This window comes from Homo sapiens, chromosome 4 (assembly GCF_000001405.40).
Source record: "Homo sapiens chromosome 4, GRCh38.p14 Primary Assembly".
NCBI lineage: Eukaryota > Metazoa > Chordata > Mammalia > Primates > Hominidae > Homo > Homo sapiens.
In genome coordinates, this window is record NC_000004.12 from 103709710 (window position 1) to 103730628 (window position 20919).

At 38.1% G+C, this 20919-nt stretch overlaps 1 protein-coding gene across 1 annotated transcript in view; it reads right to left on the reverse strand.

The window, feature by feature from the left end:
* Positions 1-10276, reverse strand: part of TACR3 (tachykinin receptor 3) — a 133955-nt gene extending 123679 nt beyond the window's left edge. The window contains exon 1 of the mRNA NM_001059.3: positions 9419-10276. Coding sequence (NP_001050.1) covers positions 9419-9966 — 548 coding nt within the window. The 5' untranslated portion in view covers positions 9967-10276. The remainder of the gene's footprint in view (positions 1-9418) is intronic.

Genomic DNA, 20919 nt, shown 5'->3' on the forward strand with positions numbered 1-20919 from the left:
GCAAACTGGATAAAGAGTCAAGAACCATCAGTGTGCTGAATTCAGGAGACCCATGTCACATGCAGAGACACACATAGGCTCAAAATAAAGGGATGGAGGAAGATCTACCAAGCAAATGGAAAACAAAAAAAAATGCAGGGGTTGCAATCCTAGTCTCTGATAAAACAGACTTTAAACCAACAAAGATCAAAAGTGACAAAGAAGGCCATTACATAATGGTAAAGGGATCAATTCAACAAGAAGAGCTAACTATCCTAAATGTATATGCACCCAACACAGGAGCACCCAGATTCATAAAGCAAGTCCTTAGAGACCTACAGAGACTTTGACTCCCACACAATAATAATGCAAGACTTTAACACTCCCCTGTCAACATTAGACAGATCAACAAGACAGAAAGTTAACAAGGGTATCCAGGAATTGAACTCAGCTCTGCACCAAGTGGACCTAATAGACATCTACAGAACTCTCCACCGCAAATCAACAGAATATACATTCTTCTCAGCACCACGTTGCACTTATTCCAAAATTGACCACACCGTTGGAAGTAAAGCACTCCTCAGCAAATATAAAAGAACAGAAATTATAGCAAACTGTCTCTCAGACCACAGTGTAATCAAAATAGAACTCAGGATTAAGAAACTCACTCAAAACTGCTCAAGTGCATGGAAACTGAACAACGTGCTCCTGAATGACTACTGGGTAAATAACTAAATGAAGTCAGAAATAAAGATGAGAACAAAGACACAACATACCAGAATCTCTGAGACACATATAAAGCTGTGTGTAGAGGGAAATTTATACCACTAAATGCCCACAAGAGAAAGCAGGAAAGATTCAAAATTGACACCCTAACATCACAATTAAAAGAACTAGAGAAGGAAGAGCAAACACATTTAAAAGCTAGCAGAAGGCAAGAAAAAACTAAGATCAGAGCAGAACTGAAGGAGATAGAGACACAAAAAACCCTTCAAAAAATCAATGAATCCAGGAGCTGGTTTTTTGAAAAGATCAACAAAATTGATAGACTGCTAGCAAGACTAATAAAGAAGAAAAGAGAGTGGAATCAAATAGACGCAATAAAAAATGATAAAGGGGATATCACCACTGATCCCACGGAAATACGAACTACCATCAGAGAACACTATAAACACTTCTACGCAAATAAACTAGAAAATCTAGAAGAAATGGATAAATTCCTGGACACATACACCCTCCCAAGACTAAACCAGGAAGAAGCTGAATCCCTGAATATACCAATAACAGGCTCTGAAATTGAGGCAATAATTAATTGCCTACCAAACAAAAAAAGTCCAGGGCCAGATGGATTCACAGCCAAATTCTACCAGAGGTACAAGGAGGAGCTGGTACCATTCCTTATGAAACTATTCCAACCAGTAGAAAAAGAGGGAATGCTCTCTAACTCATTTTATGAGGCCAGCATCATCCTGACACCAAACCCTGGCAGAGACACAACAAAAAAAGAGAATTTTAGACCAATATCCCTGATGAACATTGATGCAAAAATCCTCAATAAAATACTGGCAAACAGAACCCAGCAGCACATCAAAAAGCTTATCCACCATGATCAAGTGGGCTTCATCCCTGGGATGCAAGGCTGGTTCAACATACGCAAATCAATAAACATAATCCAGCATATAAACAGAACCAATGACAAAAAGCACATGGGTTATCTCAATAGATGAAGAAAAGGTCTTTGACGAAATTCAACAACACTTCATGCTAAGAACTCTCAATAAATTAGGTATTAATGGGATGTATCTCAAAATAATAAGAGGTATTTATGACAAACCCACAGCACATATCATAATGAATGGGCAAAAACTGGAAGCATTCCCTTTGAAAACTGGCACAAGACAGGGATGCCCTCTCTCAACACTCCTATTCAACATAATGTTGGAAGTTCTGGCCAGGGCAATCAGGCAGGAGAAAGAAATAAAGGGTATTCAATTAGGAAAAGAGGAAGTCAAATTGTCCCTGTTTGCAGATGACATGATTGTATATCTAGAAAACCCCATCGTCTCAGCCCAAAATCTCCTCAAGCTGATAAGCAACTTCAGCAAAGTTTCAGGATACAAAATCGATGTGCAAAAATCACAAGCATACTTATACACCAATAACAGACAAACAGAGAGCCAAATCATGAGTGAACTCCCATTCACAATTGCTTCAAAGAGAATAAAATACCTAGGAATCCAACTTACAAGGGATGTGAAGGACCTCTTCAAGAAGAACTACAAACCACTGCTCAATGACATAAAAGAGGACACAAAGAAATGGAAGAACATTCCATGCTCATGGGTAGGAAGAATCAATATTGTGAAAATGGCCATACTGCCCAAGGTAATTTATAGATTCAATGCCATCCCCATCAAGCTACCAATGACTTTCTTCACAGAATTGGAAAAAAACTACTGTCAAGTTCATATGGAACCAAAAAAGAGCCCGCGTTGCCAAGTCAATCCTTAGCCAAAAGAACAAAGCTGGAGGCATCACGCTACCTGACTTCAAACTATACTACAAGGCTACAGTAACCAAAACAGAGATACATACCAATGGAACAGAACAGAGCCCTCAGAAATAATATCACACATCTACAACCATCTGATCTTTGACAAACCTGACAAAAACAAGAAATGGGGAAAGGATTCCCTATTTAATAAATGGTTCTGGGAAAATTGGCTAGCCATATGTAGAAAGCTGAAACTGGATCCCTTCCTTACACCTTATACAAAAATTAATTCAAGATGGATTAAAGACTTAAATGTTAGACCTAAAACCACAAAAGCCCTAGAAGAAAACCTAGGCAATACCATTCAGGTCATAGGCATGGGCAAGGACTTTATGACTAAAACACCAAAGGCAATGGCAACAAAAGGCAAAATTGACAAATGGGATCCAATTAAACTAAAGAGCTTCTGCACAGCAAAAGAAACTACCATCAGAGTGAACAGGCAACCCACAGAATGGGAGAAAATTTTTGCAATCTACTCATCTGACAAAGGGCTAATATCCAGAATCTACAAAGAACTCAAACAAATTTACAAGAAAAAAACAAACAGCCCCATCAAAAAGTTGGCAAAGTATATGAACAGACACTTCTCAAAAGAAGACATTTATGCAGCCAAAAGACACATGAAAAAATGCTCATCATCACTGGCCATCAGAGAAATGCAAATCAAAACCACAATGACATACCATCTCACACCAGTTAGAATGGTGATCATTAAAAAGTCAGGAAACAACCAGTGCTGGAGAGAATGTAGAGAAATAGGAACACTTTTACATTGTTGGTGGAACTGTAAACTAGTTCAACCATTGTGGAAGACAGTGTGGCGATTCCTCAAGGATCTATAACTAGAAATACCATTTGACCCAGCCATCCCATTACTGGGTATATACCCAAAGGATTATAAATCATGCTGCTATAAACACACATGCACATGTATGTTTACCGCGGCACTACTCACAATAGCAAAGACTTGGAACCAACCCAAATGTCCATCAATGATAGACTGGATTAAGAAAATGTGGCACATATACACTATGGAATACTATGCAGCCATAAAATATGATGAGTTGTCCTTTGTAGGGACATGGATGAAGCTGGAAACCATCATTCTCAGCGAACTATTGCAATGACAAAAAACCAAACAGCGCATGTTCTCACTCATAGGTGGGAATTGAACAATGAGAACACATGGACACAGGAAGGGGAACATCACACACTGGGGCCTGTCATGGGGTGGGGGGAGGGGGGAGGGATAGCATTAGGAAATATACCTAATGTAAATGACGAGTTAATGGGTGCAGCACAGCAACATGGCACATGTATACATACGTGACAAACCTGCACATTGTGCACATGTACCCTGGAACTTAAAGTATAATAATAATAATAATAAGGAAAAAAAAGACAGAAAATCAATTAGACAGAAAAAAATAGGAGCTCTTCAATCACAGTGGAAAATAAAGTCATGGTTCTGGATGAGATTGGTTGGGGACAGGAAATAAAGAAGAAGAAAACAGGCCCAGAACTTAGTATAAAGCAACTTTTGCATTTAATCATTATGTATAGGCAGAGATTCAGAAATACAGCCAAAGAAGAGAGGCTAAGGAGGAAGGATATCAGAAAAGTTGGAAGCCGAGAGGTGAGACTTCTAGGCAGTAGCCACCTGTGAGGAATATTGCTCATGGGTCAAAGAAGTCAAGGACTGAAATGTCCACTGGATTTCTCAGTGTGGCTCTTTGGACAGTGTTGGGAAAATAATGAGATTTGAGTGGCTTTAAGAGCAAATAGCACATAAGGAAATGAAAATATGGGATATAAGCAAATGATACTTTCATGCTTGTTAGACATTTTTCTTTTTTTTGGATTTTGTTTATGTCTTTTGTTCTTTTTACACTGGGGATATACTTTTTCTTTAATAAATAAGAATATGTTATATATTAAGGATTTTTATGCCTGTTAAATATGCCATAAATTCTTGTTTGACATACACTTTTCTGTTGTGGTTAATATAACCTTGATATCAGCCGGAGTTCAGCTAGTTATAAAAGAGCAACCTCTGATTACATATGATTCTGTGATAATCTTATTACCCATTCAATTAATATATATTTATTGCTTTCACTATACGCTCACAATTTTATAAGAATTGGCACTATAATTTTAACTGAACTTTGACAACTCACTAGAGCAGTAATTTTAGTGGATGCAAATGGGATATTTTAAAATTATTGAATGAGAATTACAAATTTTAGAAAGAGCCAAACAGTTATGATAAGTTTCCTGAAAGTTAATTTTACCATAGTTTTAGTTACTATTTTGTAAATAATTCAAAAATATGTAACAGTTGATCTTAGGCTAAAAAGTTCATCATTTGCGGTAACTAGTGATAGTGAGTCAAGTATAACTATAACACTAATAAAGAGTATTAACTGCATGGAAAGTGACTTTTCCTAGAGTGCAGAGAAAGGATATTGCACTTGGTACTCAAATTAAAGACCGAAAAAGGATTTTTTAAAAATTTAGCAGAGTTCATATCTATAATGTTGGTAATGATGCAAAATTTACCACAATACATTTAGATAATCTGTTACTAGATTAAGACCTCAGTATTTCTCATGACTCTATATTTTTATTCGTTCAGAATAATTTTCAAAAGCTCTTCCTAGAGGATCTTTGAGTACTTTGCATAAATTAGGTTTATGTAAAAGTGAAATAGAAGATTACCAAATAAATTAAAAACAACAAAGGGTAGCATAGAAGACCAATTTTTATCTACTTGGCCATTACTATTCTTACACAGTTTTGTTGAACGCTCCTTTTAATAATTATTCATGTAAGGTATGCCACTGGATTTACAGAACAACTTTTTTGCTATCTTTCTTAAAGCTTTTGAACAATTAGATAAAACAGTAATTACTCTTTGATATGGTTTGGATCTGTGTCTCCACCCAAATCTCATGTCGAATTGTAATCCCCAATGTTGGAAGTGGGGCCTGGAGAGAGGTGATTGGATCATGGGGTGGATCTTTCATGAATGGTGAAGCACCATGCTCTTGGTGCTGTCTCCTGATAGAGTTCTTGTGAGATCTGGTTGTTCAGATGTGTGTAGCACATTCCCTCTCTCACTCTTGGTCCTGTTCCTGCCTGCCATTTAAGACTACTGCTCCTGCTTTGTCTTCTGTCATGATTGTAAGTTTCCTGAGACCTCTCCAGAAGCAGAAGCCATTATGCTTCCTGTATAGCCTGGGGAACCATGGGCCAGTTAAACCTCTTTTCTTTATCAATTACCCAGTCTCAGGTATATCTTTATAGCAATGTGAGAACAGACTAACACACTCCCTTAAGGTTTACAAGAAACAGTGTATGTGGTTTAAAAAAATATTTAATTAAATACTCAGATCAATACTGGATCATATGCCCTGAAATTTTCATTTACTATATGTTATAATAAAACTTCCTATAATTTCTAACCTAATCTCAAAGCATGTGCTTAGAAAATGAAAGAAAATATGTAACTATTTTCTAATATGACCATACATCAAGTACTATATGCCGTAAATGAATGGAAATCAAAATATTTGTATTGTAATAACTGTTCTATTAATAATTTTCTACCTTCTACTTTCTCAAGTAAAACATAGAATATATATATATGTAAGATATGTTATATATACATGTAAGATAAACAGTTTAAACTAGTACTAAATTCTAATTTGATTAAAGGTAATGACTTTGTCTAATCAAACCCTGCAGTCATCACAACTTGTTAGGTGTCATAATAGTGTAGAGGTGAAGAGAATCACTGGCCCTGGAGCTAACTGCAGTGATTTGAATCTTGACTGTACTGCATAATCTTGGAAAAGCTTATCATCTTTGAGGCAAGTGTTACATTTATATGTTATTTTTCAAAATGGCAAATTGGGGAAGGATGGTGGAGAGAAAAGCAACTCTTCACTGACAAATAATTTTATCTTGTGTGTGTGTGTGTGTGTGTGTGTGTGTGTGTGTGTGTGTTGGAGGTATAGGGGTGAGGAGACAGGTACTGGTAGTGGTAAAGTAGACTTCTAGGCAAGAAGGAAATGTGTAGAACTAGAAGATGGATTTCTGGCAAATTAGAAAACAGTTTCGCAGGACTTTGTAGCAAATCAGAAGTTAATGTGCTTCAGAATAAGACCAGAACTGGTGATCTCACAGTCAAATCTAGTAAACTTACTAATATTATTTAAATCGTGAAAATAGAAAGTAAGTAATTTTTCCAGTACAAAATGAGTGCTGAACACTTCAAGGAAAACTCAATGCCTTTTATTATAACAATTGTGTGACCATTAGCTTAAGGTTCTCCATTTGTAAGATACAGGCGTTCATTGAGGGAATATCTGTCATTTCTCAGAGTCATAAGAGGCTGCAACCATTTTGCTACAGCTGAACAAAAGCCATATGTGCCCAAGTCAAAGTTGCAATTATTTTCAAGATCACGGGTCTTTTGATTTTAGGCACAGGAACAAAGCGAATTGAATATATTTTCCATTTAGGCTAGGTTGATATAATTCAGTTTATATTCAGTGGGGATAGAAAACACTCAAAATTAAATAATTGAAGTTTTCACACTTCAATTGTAGTCTAAATTGGGAAATATATACTGTTTACTATATTCTTAGCTAAATGAGTCAGTAAGTCCATGCAGAAGGCACCATGATTCAGTGTCAACCTCAGAAAGGTTTTCTTTAACTTATAAAATATATCCTATAAAATGATGGAAAATACCACATCATTCAGGTGTCAACCTCAGAAGCGTTTTCTTTAACCTATAAAATGACTGAAAACAGCACAGGGTCAGTTTTTACAGTTCATGTTTGATAAGACACCAATGCAGAAAGATTGGTAAACTATTGGACTGGTAATCTATTGAGAGTTTTAATAATTGTTGTATTTTGTATACTTTTTGATTCTAAAAACTATTTTAAACAAGATTTCTGTATTTCTGTTTTTTTTTAATCAACTGTCTGCTCAAATAAGAACATTCTTTTAAATAATAATTTTAAAAGAGATTTTCAGTACTCGAACTGAGTATGCTTCAGATTTTATAGCATATTGTATACTCTAAATTTGTTAATAGTTTTAATGATTAATGCTTTACACAAAGAAATAGTAAAGATTAATAGTAAAGTATTCATTAATTCAAACCAATGACTGTAATAAGATAGCACTAAATGATTATTTAAAATAACTCCAAGACAATCCCATAAATGTTGGCAGGAAGAAATTGGAAAGAGAAAAATACAACCTTTTTTTCCCCTTCAAATTGAAATACAGATTTCACATGCACTAAAATTTTCTTCAAAGTTCATATTGCATGATTAATCTTTCAAGAAGACTGTAAGAATTTTATAACATTATATGCTAATACCTCTCCCCCTAATCAAAACATCAAAAAACATATACTATAAGAAATAAAAAGAAAAACAAACAAAGCAAAACAAGCAAGGAAGCTGCTCAAACAAAAGGAACACTTAACTTCTATCTTGGTGTAGTAAGATTAGAGGCAATTTCACTTATTTCCCAACTGGAGTCTGATTTTTTTTTCATTCTTTGCACTCCTATACATAGTAGTAATGAAGGGGTGCATATGTGTGGATAATCAGAGATAAAGGAGAAAGGGAAGATTGACGATTTTAGAGGCTTTTTAAAAAGTGTGATTTTGTGTTTATTTATTCTAGTTAGTGGCTACTAACCTCTGCTCCTTTAATTTAATCCTTTGAGCCTGGCACATGAAAATATTTTCTAGAGATATATGTTACTAATACCTCAGTGCTCAGTATTTCAAAATAGTAAACACAGAGGATGAACTTACAGAAATAACCTGTTTTTTCTTATTTTTTTATTATAATGGCAACTGAAATGTCATAAGAATTAATATTTATCTCCATTTTATTTTGATATGTTTGTTAATGTTTAAAAATAATCTTTGCATGAATAAGAACATTGAGACTTCAAGTTAAAGTGAAATCACCCTCATGTATCCCCCATGCAACTGCCTTTCACAAAGCTGAGACTGAAATCAACTGCTATTGATTTTCACCACAAAGTTGAATTAAAGTGAAGCCAGCCTTCAATAACAGGTAGGGATTCACCATTGTATTTCCACAAATACCTATACTTCATAATGTTCAATATGAGAAGGCAAAGGCACATAGAGTTTTTAAAAATTTGGTTACACACTTGCAGACACAGGGTTTACTCAGTTCATAGCCTCTGCAGATTACTGGAAATTAAATCTAATCTGAGATGTGGTGGAAACTGCTAGTTTACAGTAGTTTTTTGGAGAGTGTGTGTGGTCTTTGCTAGTTCTTGGTGACTGGGAGACCAAACCAGTGTTGGCCTTGGGGCAAGACTAGGGAATAGGGAAGGATGAGGATGAGGAACAGACAGAAGAGGGAAGGGTGGAGGGGCGACTCATTTACCATTTCTCTGCCAGAATAGTGACTGACAGAGAGAAGGAAGGCCAAAAAGTGCACTTTACAGATGACATAAATTTTGTTCAAAAGTCATTTGAGAAAGTTTGCTGGTACTTAAACGTTTCTAGCTAAGTTTGCCCTACTTGGAAGGGCATTTTCACCTGTCCCTCATTCACCTTCTTCAGTCCCTCTAGATATCCTTAATAAGGCTCAATGATTTAGAGCTTGAGTGTTGGAGGCCACGGAAGCAGAAACTTGTTCAGCCACTCGAGGGCTACAAATGGGTTAGTGTCCTCCTTTCAGCAAAAATTCTTAGTCTCTTTACTTTTATAGACCCCGTTACGTTACTATTTCCTTTGTAATCTTATCCCACCGCCCAGTTCTTTTCTTTCCCTTCTCCCTCTTTCCTCTCTGTCTGTCCTCTCCTCACCTGTCCACCGCAATGGCCGTCATGGAGTAGATGCTGGCGAACACAGCTGTGATAGGAAAGAAGTTCTGGAAGCGGCAGTAGTTGGCGCCAAAGTACCACTCGCTATGAAGCGCGTAGATGAAATTGACCAACGTGTTGAAGGCGGCCATGGAGGCGTCGGAGAAAGCCAGGTTCACAAGGAAGTAGTTGGTGACAGTCCTCATGCGCTTGTGGGCCAGGATGATCCAGATGACGATGAGATTTCCCAAAACTGCCACTGCCACCACCACACCATACGCCAGGGACCAGAGCGCGATGCGCCAGGACGGCTGCACGAACTGGTTGGTGAGGTTGGCCCAGGGCTGGGAGGGCGCGGGGGAAGCCACAGGCAGTCCCAGCGCGGAAGGGGAGGAGGAGAGGTTGCCAGCTTGGTCCAGCAGTTGCAGCCACCCAGTCTCAACTGCCCCCGTGGCCGCCCCGGCAGCTAGCGAGGCGGTCAGGTTCACGGCGTCTGCACCCACGCCTCCACCCCCGTCTATCCAGGTTTCTGCTGCTGGGAGAGTGGCCATCGCCACCGGTCTGCAGTCCCGGACCCTCCCACTCACCCACGGGCAGCCCAAGACGAGACTCCTCTGAAGTTCTTCTCTGCCTCCTGGTCACTTTGGTGCCGGAGTCTTCAGATAAGACTGGAAGCTGAAAGATACTGCAATCCCTGCTGGTTAGGGGATGCAGCTGGGGCTAAGGGGCAACAGCTGCACTTTCTCAGAGGCGCTTGCGGCTCTGGCAGGCAGAAAGAATGAGATCCTCCCGAGATTAAGGGTTATCGAGTCACATCACACGTAGGGAGGGTGCCAGCTGCCCGGCACAGGCTGGAGAACTGAGCGTCCTGCGCTACAGGCTCTCTTTATACTCATGGGGTCCCACGCTTCGGTGACGTTGCAGGGGCCGCGGAGCTGACTATCCCCTTCGCTGGCTGTGATTGCACTCGCTCCCTCCATCCCGCCCTTCGCATTTCATTCATTCGCTGCAAGCAGCTGGAGCTTGGCAAGCTGACCCGCGCAAGGGAGGGCTGCACTCCCTCAGCTGTAATTAAAATCTTTCCAAGATTGTTTGCCTTCTTTTAACTTCAGGATATCTTGCTGAGGTCCCTGTTCTCAAACATGTATTGGGGACCATTCCTTCCTGCACAAATTAACCATTCACTCATGAGGCAAGGGCAAGATCCTGTTGATTTTTCGGAGAGTGCATGAGTGTAGACTGCTGCAGGCTGTGGGCACAGTCAGCCGCAAACGTTTTTAGGTGTCCCTGGGTTTTGAATTTCATTCAACTTTTCTGCTCTGGTGTTTATATTCTCTCATCTCAGATTCCTTTTCCTCTCGCTCCCACTTTCCATATCCACCCATTTTCTCTCTTCCTGTACCTCTATCACTAGAAATCCGTCCCTCTGACCCCATTCCCAGCAGGCAGCTGGAGACTCTGGATTCTCCTGGAGGATTCTGCTCAGGTTGGAATGTCATAGCACACTAAGGGTAAATCGCAAATCCCAAGGAGTACATTTTCTTGAAACACGACAACGAGACAGATCTCTACATTTCCCTGGGTTGAACGTAGCCAGTAAGCACTGTGAATACACGCTCTTGGTTACAGGGTTCTGGATATATGGTGCCTTAGTTTTCAGGGCTTGACCATGAGGACACACTGATGAGAATACCGTAACTGAACAAATACTTGGGTTTTCCGGGAAGACAGGCAGGACCTGATTTCTGAGCTTTGCTTGAGAATAAGTGAGCTAAAGTGCTCGGTGGATTGCAAGCTGGAAGGACATAGTCTGTGCTTAGACCAATCTCAGGAAATTTAGCAAGAGGTTCCAGAGCCGAAACTCCTTTGTTAGCATCCTGGGGGCATGTGTATAAATTTAGGGTTAAATATATATTTAGCAACCTACTGGATATACGTGAACTGTTTGAACCTCTCTTGTCATTTAAAAATGAGTTTTTAAAGAAATCTCATTTACAGTATAATTATATGATAGTTTCTACAGACTTCCCTCAACAACAGCAGGCCGGAGGAAACACTCTTCCCTCTAGTTATCATTGTGTATTACATCTAAACATGTTTAGGTGAAAGGGATTTGATCAACAAGTTTAACAAGAGAAGGTAACTTGTGATTTGTACATATTCTGCTTTTTCCTTTTCTTTTTTTTTTTTTTTTTTTCCTAGTTCTGTCACCCAGGCTGGAATGCAGTGGTGCAATCATAGCTCACTGCAGCCTTCAACTCCTGGCTCAAGTGATCCTTCCCCACCTCAGCTTCCTGAGTAGCTAGTACTACAGGCATGTGCCACCAGTGCCACCACACCCAGCTAATTTAAATTTTTTGTTGTTGTTGTTGTTGCGACATGGTCTGGCGATGTTGTTCAGCCTGGTCTCCAACTCCTGGCCTTAAGCAATCTTCCCAGCTCGGCCTCCCAAAAGGCTGGACCTCCAGCAATGCTGGGATTACAGGCATGAGCCACTGTGTCTGGCCCTTCTGCCTTCTTTAGTTTTCCAGTTTAAAATATACTCTTCAAAGAACCTGCTGTGATGATTGGACAAGTGGACTTAAGGTGTGTAGTGATAAATAGTGTTTTCCTTCTTACAGTTATTATGACTAAATGGCTAGTGTATAACAATGATTTTAAGCAACCTGATAGTTATTATCACAGCCTTGACACAATCCTGCTTCAAAGTAAATGCATGCAGACCATGATGATTATCAAATGTTATTTCCCTTTTCTTCTGAGAGGCCTGTGAAAATATGTGATAAATCATAGGCAAAGTCAATAAGATTAGCACTTTCTGCTTACTAATTCCAATGGTTTAATTTAACTATTTTCTTTTGAAAGATTACTTCTTTGTTCTAATTCATCATCTAGAAATTGCTTGTTACAAATGAAAGCCTCTTCCTTTCCCAATGCAATTAGAAAGACATTAAAAATATATCTCCATATGACACACCTGCTTACTCAAAATTACAAAATAGGTTATGTGGTGGTTTGGTAATTAAGCATGTTTTGATCAGATTTTTGAAGCTGAAAAATTACTTAGTTGTGTAGAAATACACTCATTTTACTGTTGCTTTCCTTGTAATACTTACAACAAACATTTTAATTTTTCAGTTTTGCCTTCATTGGGCTTATACAAAGTAGAGGGGATATGACAAGGAAAAAAAGGATAATGATGGAATTAGATATAATGAAAGAAGTTTAAAAATTTATTCCTTTCAGAGGAAGGGAGGCATTCAGGGCATGGCTTTCCTTCTCAATCTGCCTTACCTACTGAGAATCTCCCTTGACCACAAGAGGGATCAGTGATAATTCATTGTCTATCATTTCTTAGCTATGTATTAGCATACTTCTTTCCAGGTGCTATGCCAGATACTGGGAGTATAGCAATGAAGCAGTTATATATGAATTCTATTCTTGAAGCCTAGAGTCTAGCAGTATTTTTTCACATTAAGAAATAGGAAGGAAAAAAAGGATCTGAGAAGTCCTGAGATGAAAGTACTTTAGCCCTCTCCCTCTCCCTCTCCCTCTCCCTCTCCCCACCGTCTCCCTCTCCCCACCGTCTCCCTCTCCCTCTCTCTCCACGGTCTCCCTCTGATGCCCAGCCGAAGCTGGACTGTACTGCCACCATCTCGGCTCACTGCAACCTCCCTACCTGATTCTCCTGCCTCAGCCTGCCGAGTGCCTGGGATTGCAGGCACGCGCCGCCACGCCTGACTGGTTTTCGTATTTTTTTGGTGGAGACGGGGTTTCGCTGTGTTGGCCGGGCTGGTCTCCAGCTCCTAACCGTGAGTGATCTGCCAGCCTCGGCCTCCTGAGGTGCTGGGATTGCAGACGGAGTCTCACTCACTCAGTGCTCAATGTTGCCCAGGCTGGAGTGCAGTGGCGTGATCTCGGCTAGCTACAACCTCCACCTCCCAGCCGCCTGCCTTGGCCTCCCAAAGTGCCGAGAATGTAGCCTCTGCCCGGCCGCCACCCCATCTGGGAAGTGAGGAGTGTCTCTGCCTGGCCGCCCATCGTCTGGGATGTGAGGAGCCCCTCTGCCCTGCCGCCCAGTCTGGGAAGTGAGGAGCGCCTCTTCCCGGCCGCCATCCCGTCTAGGAAGTGAGGAGCGTCTCTGCCCAGCTGCCCATCGTCTGAGATGCGGGGAGCGCCTCTGCCCCGCCGCCCCCTCTGGGATGTGAGGAGCCTCTCTGCCTGGCCGCCCCGTCTGAGAAGTGAAGAGCCCCCTCCGCCCAGGAGCCACCCCGTCCGGGAGGGAGGTGGGGGGCAGCCCCCGCCCGGCCAGCCGCCCCGTCCGGGAGGTGGGGGGCACCTCCGCCCGGCTGCCCTGTCTGGGAAGTGAGGAGCCTCTCTGCCCGGCAGCCACCCCGTCTGGGAGGTGTACCCAACAGCTCATTGAGAACGGGCCATGATGACGATGGCGGTTTTGTCGAATAGAAAAGGGGGAAATGTGGGGAAAAGATAGAGAAATCAGATTGTTGCTGTGTCTGTGTAGAGGGAAGTAGACGTAGGAGACTCCATTTTGTTCTGTACTAAGAAAAATTCTTCTGCCTTGGGATGCTGTTAATCTATAACCTTACCCCCAACCCCGTGCTCTCTGAAACATGTGCTGTGTCCACTCAGGGTTAAATGGATTAAGGGCGGTGCAAGATGTCCTTTGTTAAACAGATGCTTGAAGGCAGCATGCTCTATAAGAGTCATCACCACTCCCTAATCTCAAGTACCCAGGGACACAAACACTGCAGAAAGCCACAGGGTCCTCTGCCTAGGAAAACCAGAGACCCTTGTTCACATGTTTATCTGCTGACCTTCCCTCCACTATTGTCCTATGACCCTGCCAAATCCCCCTCTCTGAGAAACACCCAAGAATGATCAATAAATACTAAAAAAAAAAAAAAAAAAAAAAAAAGAAATGGTAACAATGGACACCTTTACCTTGTTTCCAATCTTAGTGGGAAAGTATTCAGTTTTTCACCATTATGAATGATGTTATCTATAGGTTCTTTGTAGATGGCCCTCATCAATTTGAGGAAGTTCCCTTCTATTCCTAGTTTGCTGACTATATTTATCATGGCCCGAAGGTGAACTTTTTCAAATGCCTTTTCTGTATCTATTGGGACAACCATATGGTTTGTTTTTTAATACACTTATGTGGTGAATTGCATTTATTGATTTTTGAATGTTACAGTATACTTACATTCCTGGTATAAATTCTACTTTTTCATGATGTATTATCTTTTAAAAATATGATTAAAATATGATTGAATGTAGCTTACTAATAAAAATAAATAAATAAATAAATAAATAAATAAAAAACATGTAAAAAGAAATAGGAAGGTATGGAGAAAAATGAGTGTTTAACTGTGTAAGAGAATGTGGTGCCCACTGATTCTGGATTGTTCCAACTTCTCTTGTAAATGTTTGAGATGGACATGCTAATTACCCTTAACTGATCACTATACATTGTACATATCAAAATATGTACCCCATGAATATGTAAAGTTATTATTTGTTAATAAAAAATAAAATTTTGAAAATATTTTAAATAAATACAAAGTAAAAGTACAGTCATCTCCAGTATCCAATTTAAAAAAAATTGTGTGTGAAAATTGAATGAAATTTCAAAAAGAAAGACTTAACAAAAGTGTATGCCTTAGAGAATGAGAAGGTTGAGGAGATCATACCTGAAGATGAGATTTTCTGACTAAAACAATTTGGTGGAATATCTGCTTGTTGTAGCCCAGATTCTGAATCCTGCTCTTATCTGAACCTATTTATTTGATTTCCTAATTCTTCCTCATGCTTTTTCTCTTACTATAAGATATCCAAAAGTCTTAGCCTTAGAGTACTGAGGGAAGGAGCAGAGAGGGCAAAAGAAATGGTAGAACATCAGAAAATGACTGTTAGAGTAGGAGCCTACATTCTGGCATTTAAAACTTGGAAGTGGGTATAAGCATGCACTTATGCAAATGTATGAGAACGTATGAGTCAAGCATGATAGACAACTTGATAGAAGATGTTAACAGGTTTTAGATAACAGCAAACTAAATTGGTTTGACTACATAAGTATAATACAAATTATGATCATTTTTATGCTTACTATTACTATTTATTCCTAATGCTATTGCTGACTATTTATTCCTAATGACCAATAAGTTTGTCTATTTTATTATGAATTATTATATTTAGAAAATCATATTTCTTCTAAACCTTATTTCCTCCCCATATTTTGCTTAGAATATCTACTGGCAATATGCCCCAGTTATTTGCTAACTATTATAAAGAGAATGGATACTTGTCATGTGTTGATTATTTTTTTCTCTCCTACAACTCCAGGGCACTTAGTGTGGTATATTTCATACTTGAATTTTTATTATAACAGGCCTCCCAAATATAAGCATAATAGGGTAAAATTTCAGGTTGTGTTGATGGCTTGTGGAGGAGTTATTTTGGGGAAGAAGAGCTTGTCAAAATTCCAGATTTCTGTCTCTGACACCAATCTTCTACTTGACAGTTCTCTCACATTTTTAGTGTTAGCATGTTGATTGTTTCCTACCATGTTGAGATATTTTTTCTTCCTTGCCAATTTCAGATCATCATAGTCTAGCCCTTTTACCCTTGTATTATACTTCTTTCCTTTGTTATTTCATCAGTTTAGTTTTGCAGTTTTATTCAGTCAGTTCACCCTTTGAGTTTTGAGGTCTTACAATCAAACTACTGAGCATTGCTGAAAATCAATCAATCAATGTACCTCCACTTAATTATGCTGACAGGTCCTCCTTAAAAATTCTTGTACTTTACCAGACACTCTTTCCATGTGGAATTGAAATCACTTCCTATTTCCAAAATTCTCATCATGTCTTCAGATCTCTTTCTTCTACACCTTCCTTCTCATACTTAGCAAGTGATGTTGTCTCCAATGTATCTGCAAAATTAAAAACCATCAGCCAAGAATTTTGACATTTCTGTGCATTTTACCCATCTTTTCATTGTTTGTTATTGTCTCAATTACAGTGGTTTTTCCCATCCTAAAACCCACTCTTTGATCTGTGCTACTTGTTCTTTCAATCATTCCTCTTTTTCCCTGTCTTCAACATCTCATTCTTTTTTCCCTTTTTCTTTAGTAATGAAACATATCTAAGAATCTACATTAAAGAGCTTTTCTTGACCACATTCCCTTATAATTACCACTTTTATCTCCTATTTCATTCCTAGATGAGCTGCTTTAATGACATACGTAAATTCAATATTTTCTTTCCTTTACTCAAAATGAAATTTTTAGGTATTAAATGTTATACCCTTCAGTTAATGTACTCTCCTATCAATTACCTGCATGCTAAACCAAATAGTCACTTCCCTTCCTTAACTTTCTTGATCTTTCTGTAGCAGTATAATTTGACATTTGCATTACTTTCCCAGATCTATCATAACAAAATACTACAAACCAAGTATTTTGAAACAACAGAAATTTATTTTTCACCATTTGTGAGGCTAGAAGTCTGAAATCAAGTCATGGGCAAGGTTAGTCCTTGTGGAGTCTCTGAGGGACAATATGTTCTATTCCTTTCTCCTAGCTTCTGTTGGTTGCTGGCAATCTTTGGGGTTCCCTAGTTTATAGATGCATCACTCCAATCTCTACCTCCGTTATTACATGGTGTTTTCCCTATGTCCTTCACATTATCATTCCTGTATGTTTCTCTGTGTGTACATTTCTTCTTCTTTTAAGGACGGTAGTCATGTGATTAGGGACAACTCCAAATCTAATTTCAACTTGATTTCTTGTTCAAAATCCTATTTCCAAATACGATCACATTCACAGGTACTGAGTGCTAGTATTAGAACATAGTTTTGGGGGTAGAAGGAACACAATTCTTCCCACAACTGTCCACCATCTTGCTCCTCAAAATTCATGTCTTTCCCATGTGCAAAGTATATTCACACCATCCAACATCCCCCAAAATCTTAACCCATTCTCCACTACAAACTCTAGGTCCAAAATTTTATTTAAATATCCACTCAAAAATTCCCCAGTCTCATCACCTAAATGAGATATACATGAGACTCTGGTTATAGTCCATCCTTGGGCAAAATTGTTCTTTATGCACAGGCCTCTGAAACTGGGAAACAAGTTATCTTTTTCCAAAATACAGTGATGGAACAGGCACAAGATAGACATTCCTATTCCAAAAGGGAGATAATGAGAGGAATTAAGGGATCACTGGTCTGAAGCAAGTTTGCAACCCATCAGGAAAAAATTATTAAATATCAGGGCCTGAGAATTATCATTTGTGGCTTGATGCTCTGTCCTCTGGGTCTGTGGAGGTTTCACCCTGGCCTCAATTGCATAACAAATAAATTACTCTTGTGTTTACAGACAGAAAACATAATTTAAAGATATTTAAATTGATATAACATTGATATATATCAGTGTTACCATTGTGTTCATGACTTTGATTTTTTTATCTGTACACATTTCTGTATTTCTACATTTATATTGTTTATAAATCTTTTAAAATGAATTACTAAAAAATGTAAATTGTAAAAAGAAAAATGACCTGGCTTAGGAACTCCTTGATGGTGAGAAAGAAGGGGACAAATTGAAAATGTTTTCTGAGTCTGAACAGCTAGTTGAAAGAAATACCCTTTTTACTATGGTTGAAAAGATGTGCCCTACTGAACAAAAATCACACATGAAGATTTACTTTCATTAATGCTTTGGTATTGTTTCCTAATGGACTGACTAGCTAATTGAATCTGATGACATGTTAATAATATTACTGTAATAGCTCCAAAAATATCAAAAGACATTTTAACAAAATCAGACATTGCATACTAATTATCAAATTAGTGTTCTACAGTTTGGTAAGTTGTGGCTTTGAGGAAGTGAATCAACCAATAAACATCTCGTCTTTTATTATTTATTTTTGACTGTTCCTGGGAAACAGTGAAGAGCACAAGCTTTGGAAACTGATCGATTAAGGTTTGACTGGAAACTCTTGCTCCTTTTAGTTTACTAACCCTACCTTCTCTTAGGCTCCATTTCATCCTCAGTAAAATTGTGATATTTTTATTTAAACATATATCTTTTGTATAAAATGTTTACTAAATGGGAACAGAATTTATAATTTCTATATTAGTTTAATTTAGTCCCTAAGTATAGAAAATGATTTTATAAAAATAATAGTTAACATTCATAAAGCCCCTTGTGTGTTCTAGACTTCCAAGCGTGTTCTTTACACTAATTAAGCTATTTATATGTCCTAAGTGTCCTGTGCAATGATATTATTATTATTCTCATTTTTGGATTAGGAAATGAGGCATAAAAGAGATTAAATAAGTTATCTGAAGTTATACGTAATATCTAGAAAATAGTGGAAGGCATGGTTGTACCCAGAATCTGGTACCAGAGTCTAGGATCTTAGTCATACTATCATACCATCTTTCTAAGAAAACAAGCAAACAAACCATGTAAAGGTTGGCAAAAAAAATCACATAAAAAGTTAGAACTACAACTAAATACAATTTAATACATTGTTCTTTTCTCAAATAGCTCTACCCGTAATCACCTCATCTTCAAGAGAAAAACAAAACAAAACAAAGGGAGCAAACAAAAACCATCAAATAATAAGGCATGAACATTGTCTAGTTAAAACTGATGGTTCAAAGATGTCATCACTCTGCTTTTCTGTCTGAAACAAACAAATAAACACAAAACAATAAAAATATGTACAAATACAAAAGAAAACTTCAGTGGAACCTGTGGATAATTTCAACTCCAGATTACAATAAACAGAGCAGCACTGGCTTATCCAATCAAATATTGTATTAATGCCAACGGGGATAACTGCCAAGTGGGAATAAATTGGTAGAGTTCATAGTTTTCCTGATAAGTGGGATACTCAAAGAAGTTGGATCAATCATTGTCTGCTAAGTGTCTTAGTCTATTTTATGTTGACCTAACAGGATGTCCTAGACTAATTTATAAAGAAAAGAGATTTATTTAGCTCACAATTCTACAGGCTAAAAACTTCAAGGGCATAGCCCTGGTTTATAGCAAGTTTGTGCTGTGTCATAACATGGCAGAGAAGGTCAAAAGGGAAGTGGAAACATGCGAAGAAAGAAAATCGTAGGGGCTAAATTCCTGGCTTTAGAATAACCACTCTTTGCAGGAATACTCCTATGAGAACTAATCCAGTTTCAGACAGCAAGAACCAACCCACTACCAAGCCATTCATAAGATACACACCCCTTTCACCCAAACACCTCCCACTAGGTCCCATCTCCCAATGTCACTGCATTTGGGATCAAATTTCAATCTGAGTTTTGGTGTGGACAAACTCAAACTCCAATTATATGATTGCTCCGAAGGACTGTGTGAACATTCATGAGTCCTATGTAACAACAAAAGGTGGCAAGAGAAGAAAAATTAAACGAAGACATTGGAATTGAAGCCATTTCACCAGAATAGATTCTGTAATGATTTAGAGTAAAGGTAAAATTTAGTTGTCAGTTTTGCAGTTGCTGATTTAGAGAGCCAAAGAAATTTGAAAGACAAATTATTACATAAAAATTAAAATGTGGGAGCTTCATTATAAGGCATGAAAAGTTCATACGCCAGGGTAGACATTCATCAGAAAGTGTTCAGTGGTAACAGAACAACAGAACTCTACCCAAACTCCTATCACCAAGACCAAAACTTAGGCTTTTGTTTTGGGAAATAGCTGGCCAGAAAGAACAACTTCCACCCACACACATTCAAAGATAAACAAAAATCAATTTAAAAAATCACTAAAACCTATGTAAAGGTTTTATACAAAAGAAAAAAGAGACATGACAAAGAAATGTCAGATAAATAAGTACTTTAAAATGCCAATAAAATTAGTGAGTGAAAACTAAAGAAATTTAAAGAAATAGTCAATTAAATGAAACCCAAAGAATAAAAAATATTATAAAAATAAAATCATATTAGATGCAGAAGTAAAAATGTTTCCATTACATGAAACAGAGCATGAAGGGTAGGTTTGAAAGGAATCAAACAAAACATGAAATAATTTAACAAGATTATAAAGGAAATTATAGCCATAGAATAAGTGATCCAACACATTCATAGAGTTTCTGAAAAGAATCAAATACATGGGATGAGAAAAATTACACAAAAATACAATATAAGAGAGTCATCAAAAATGGAGTAGGGAATTCCAAAAGTCTGTCCCTTCACAAAAGCAATAAACTGACAAAAATGACAAGAATTAGCTTTCAGAATTCTGGAAACTAACAAAAAGCTTACAGCAACCAGAGCAATACTTAATTTAAAAAAATAGCTGAATCTCAAAAAGAGAGCTTTAATGGCATTTTAATATATTAAAATACCATGGCCCTATCCCCAACTCCCCAGCTCAGTGGTGATACACGAAGAAAAAGATACTGTTCCTATAAAAGAAAAACTACATCTAGATTCAGAAAGATTAATCATGTCA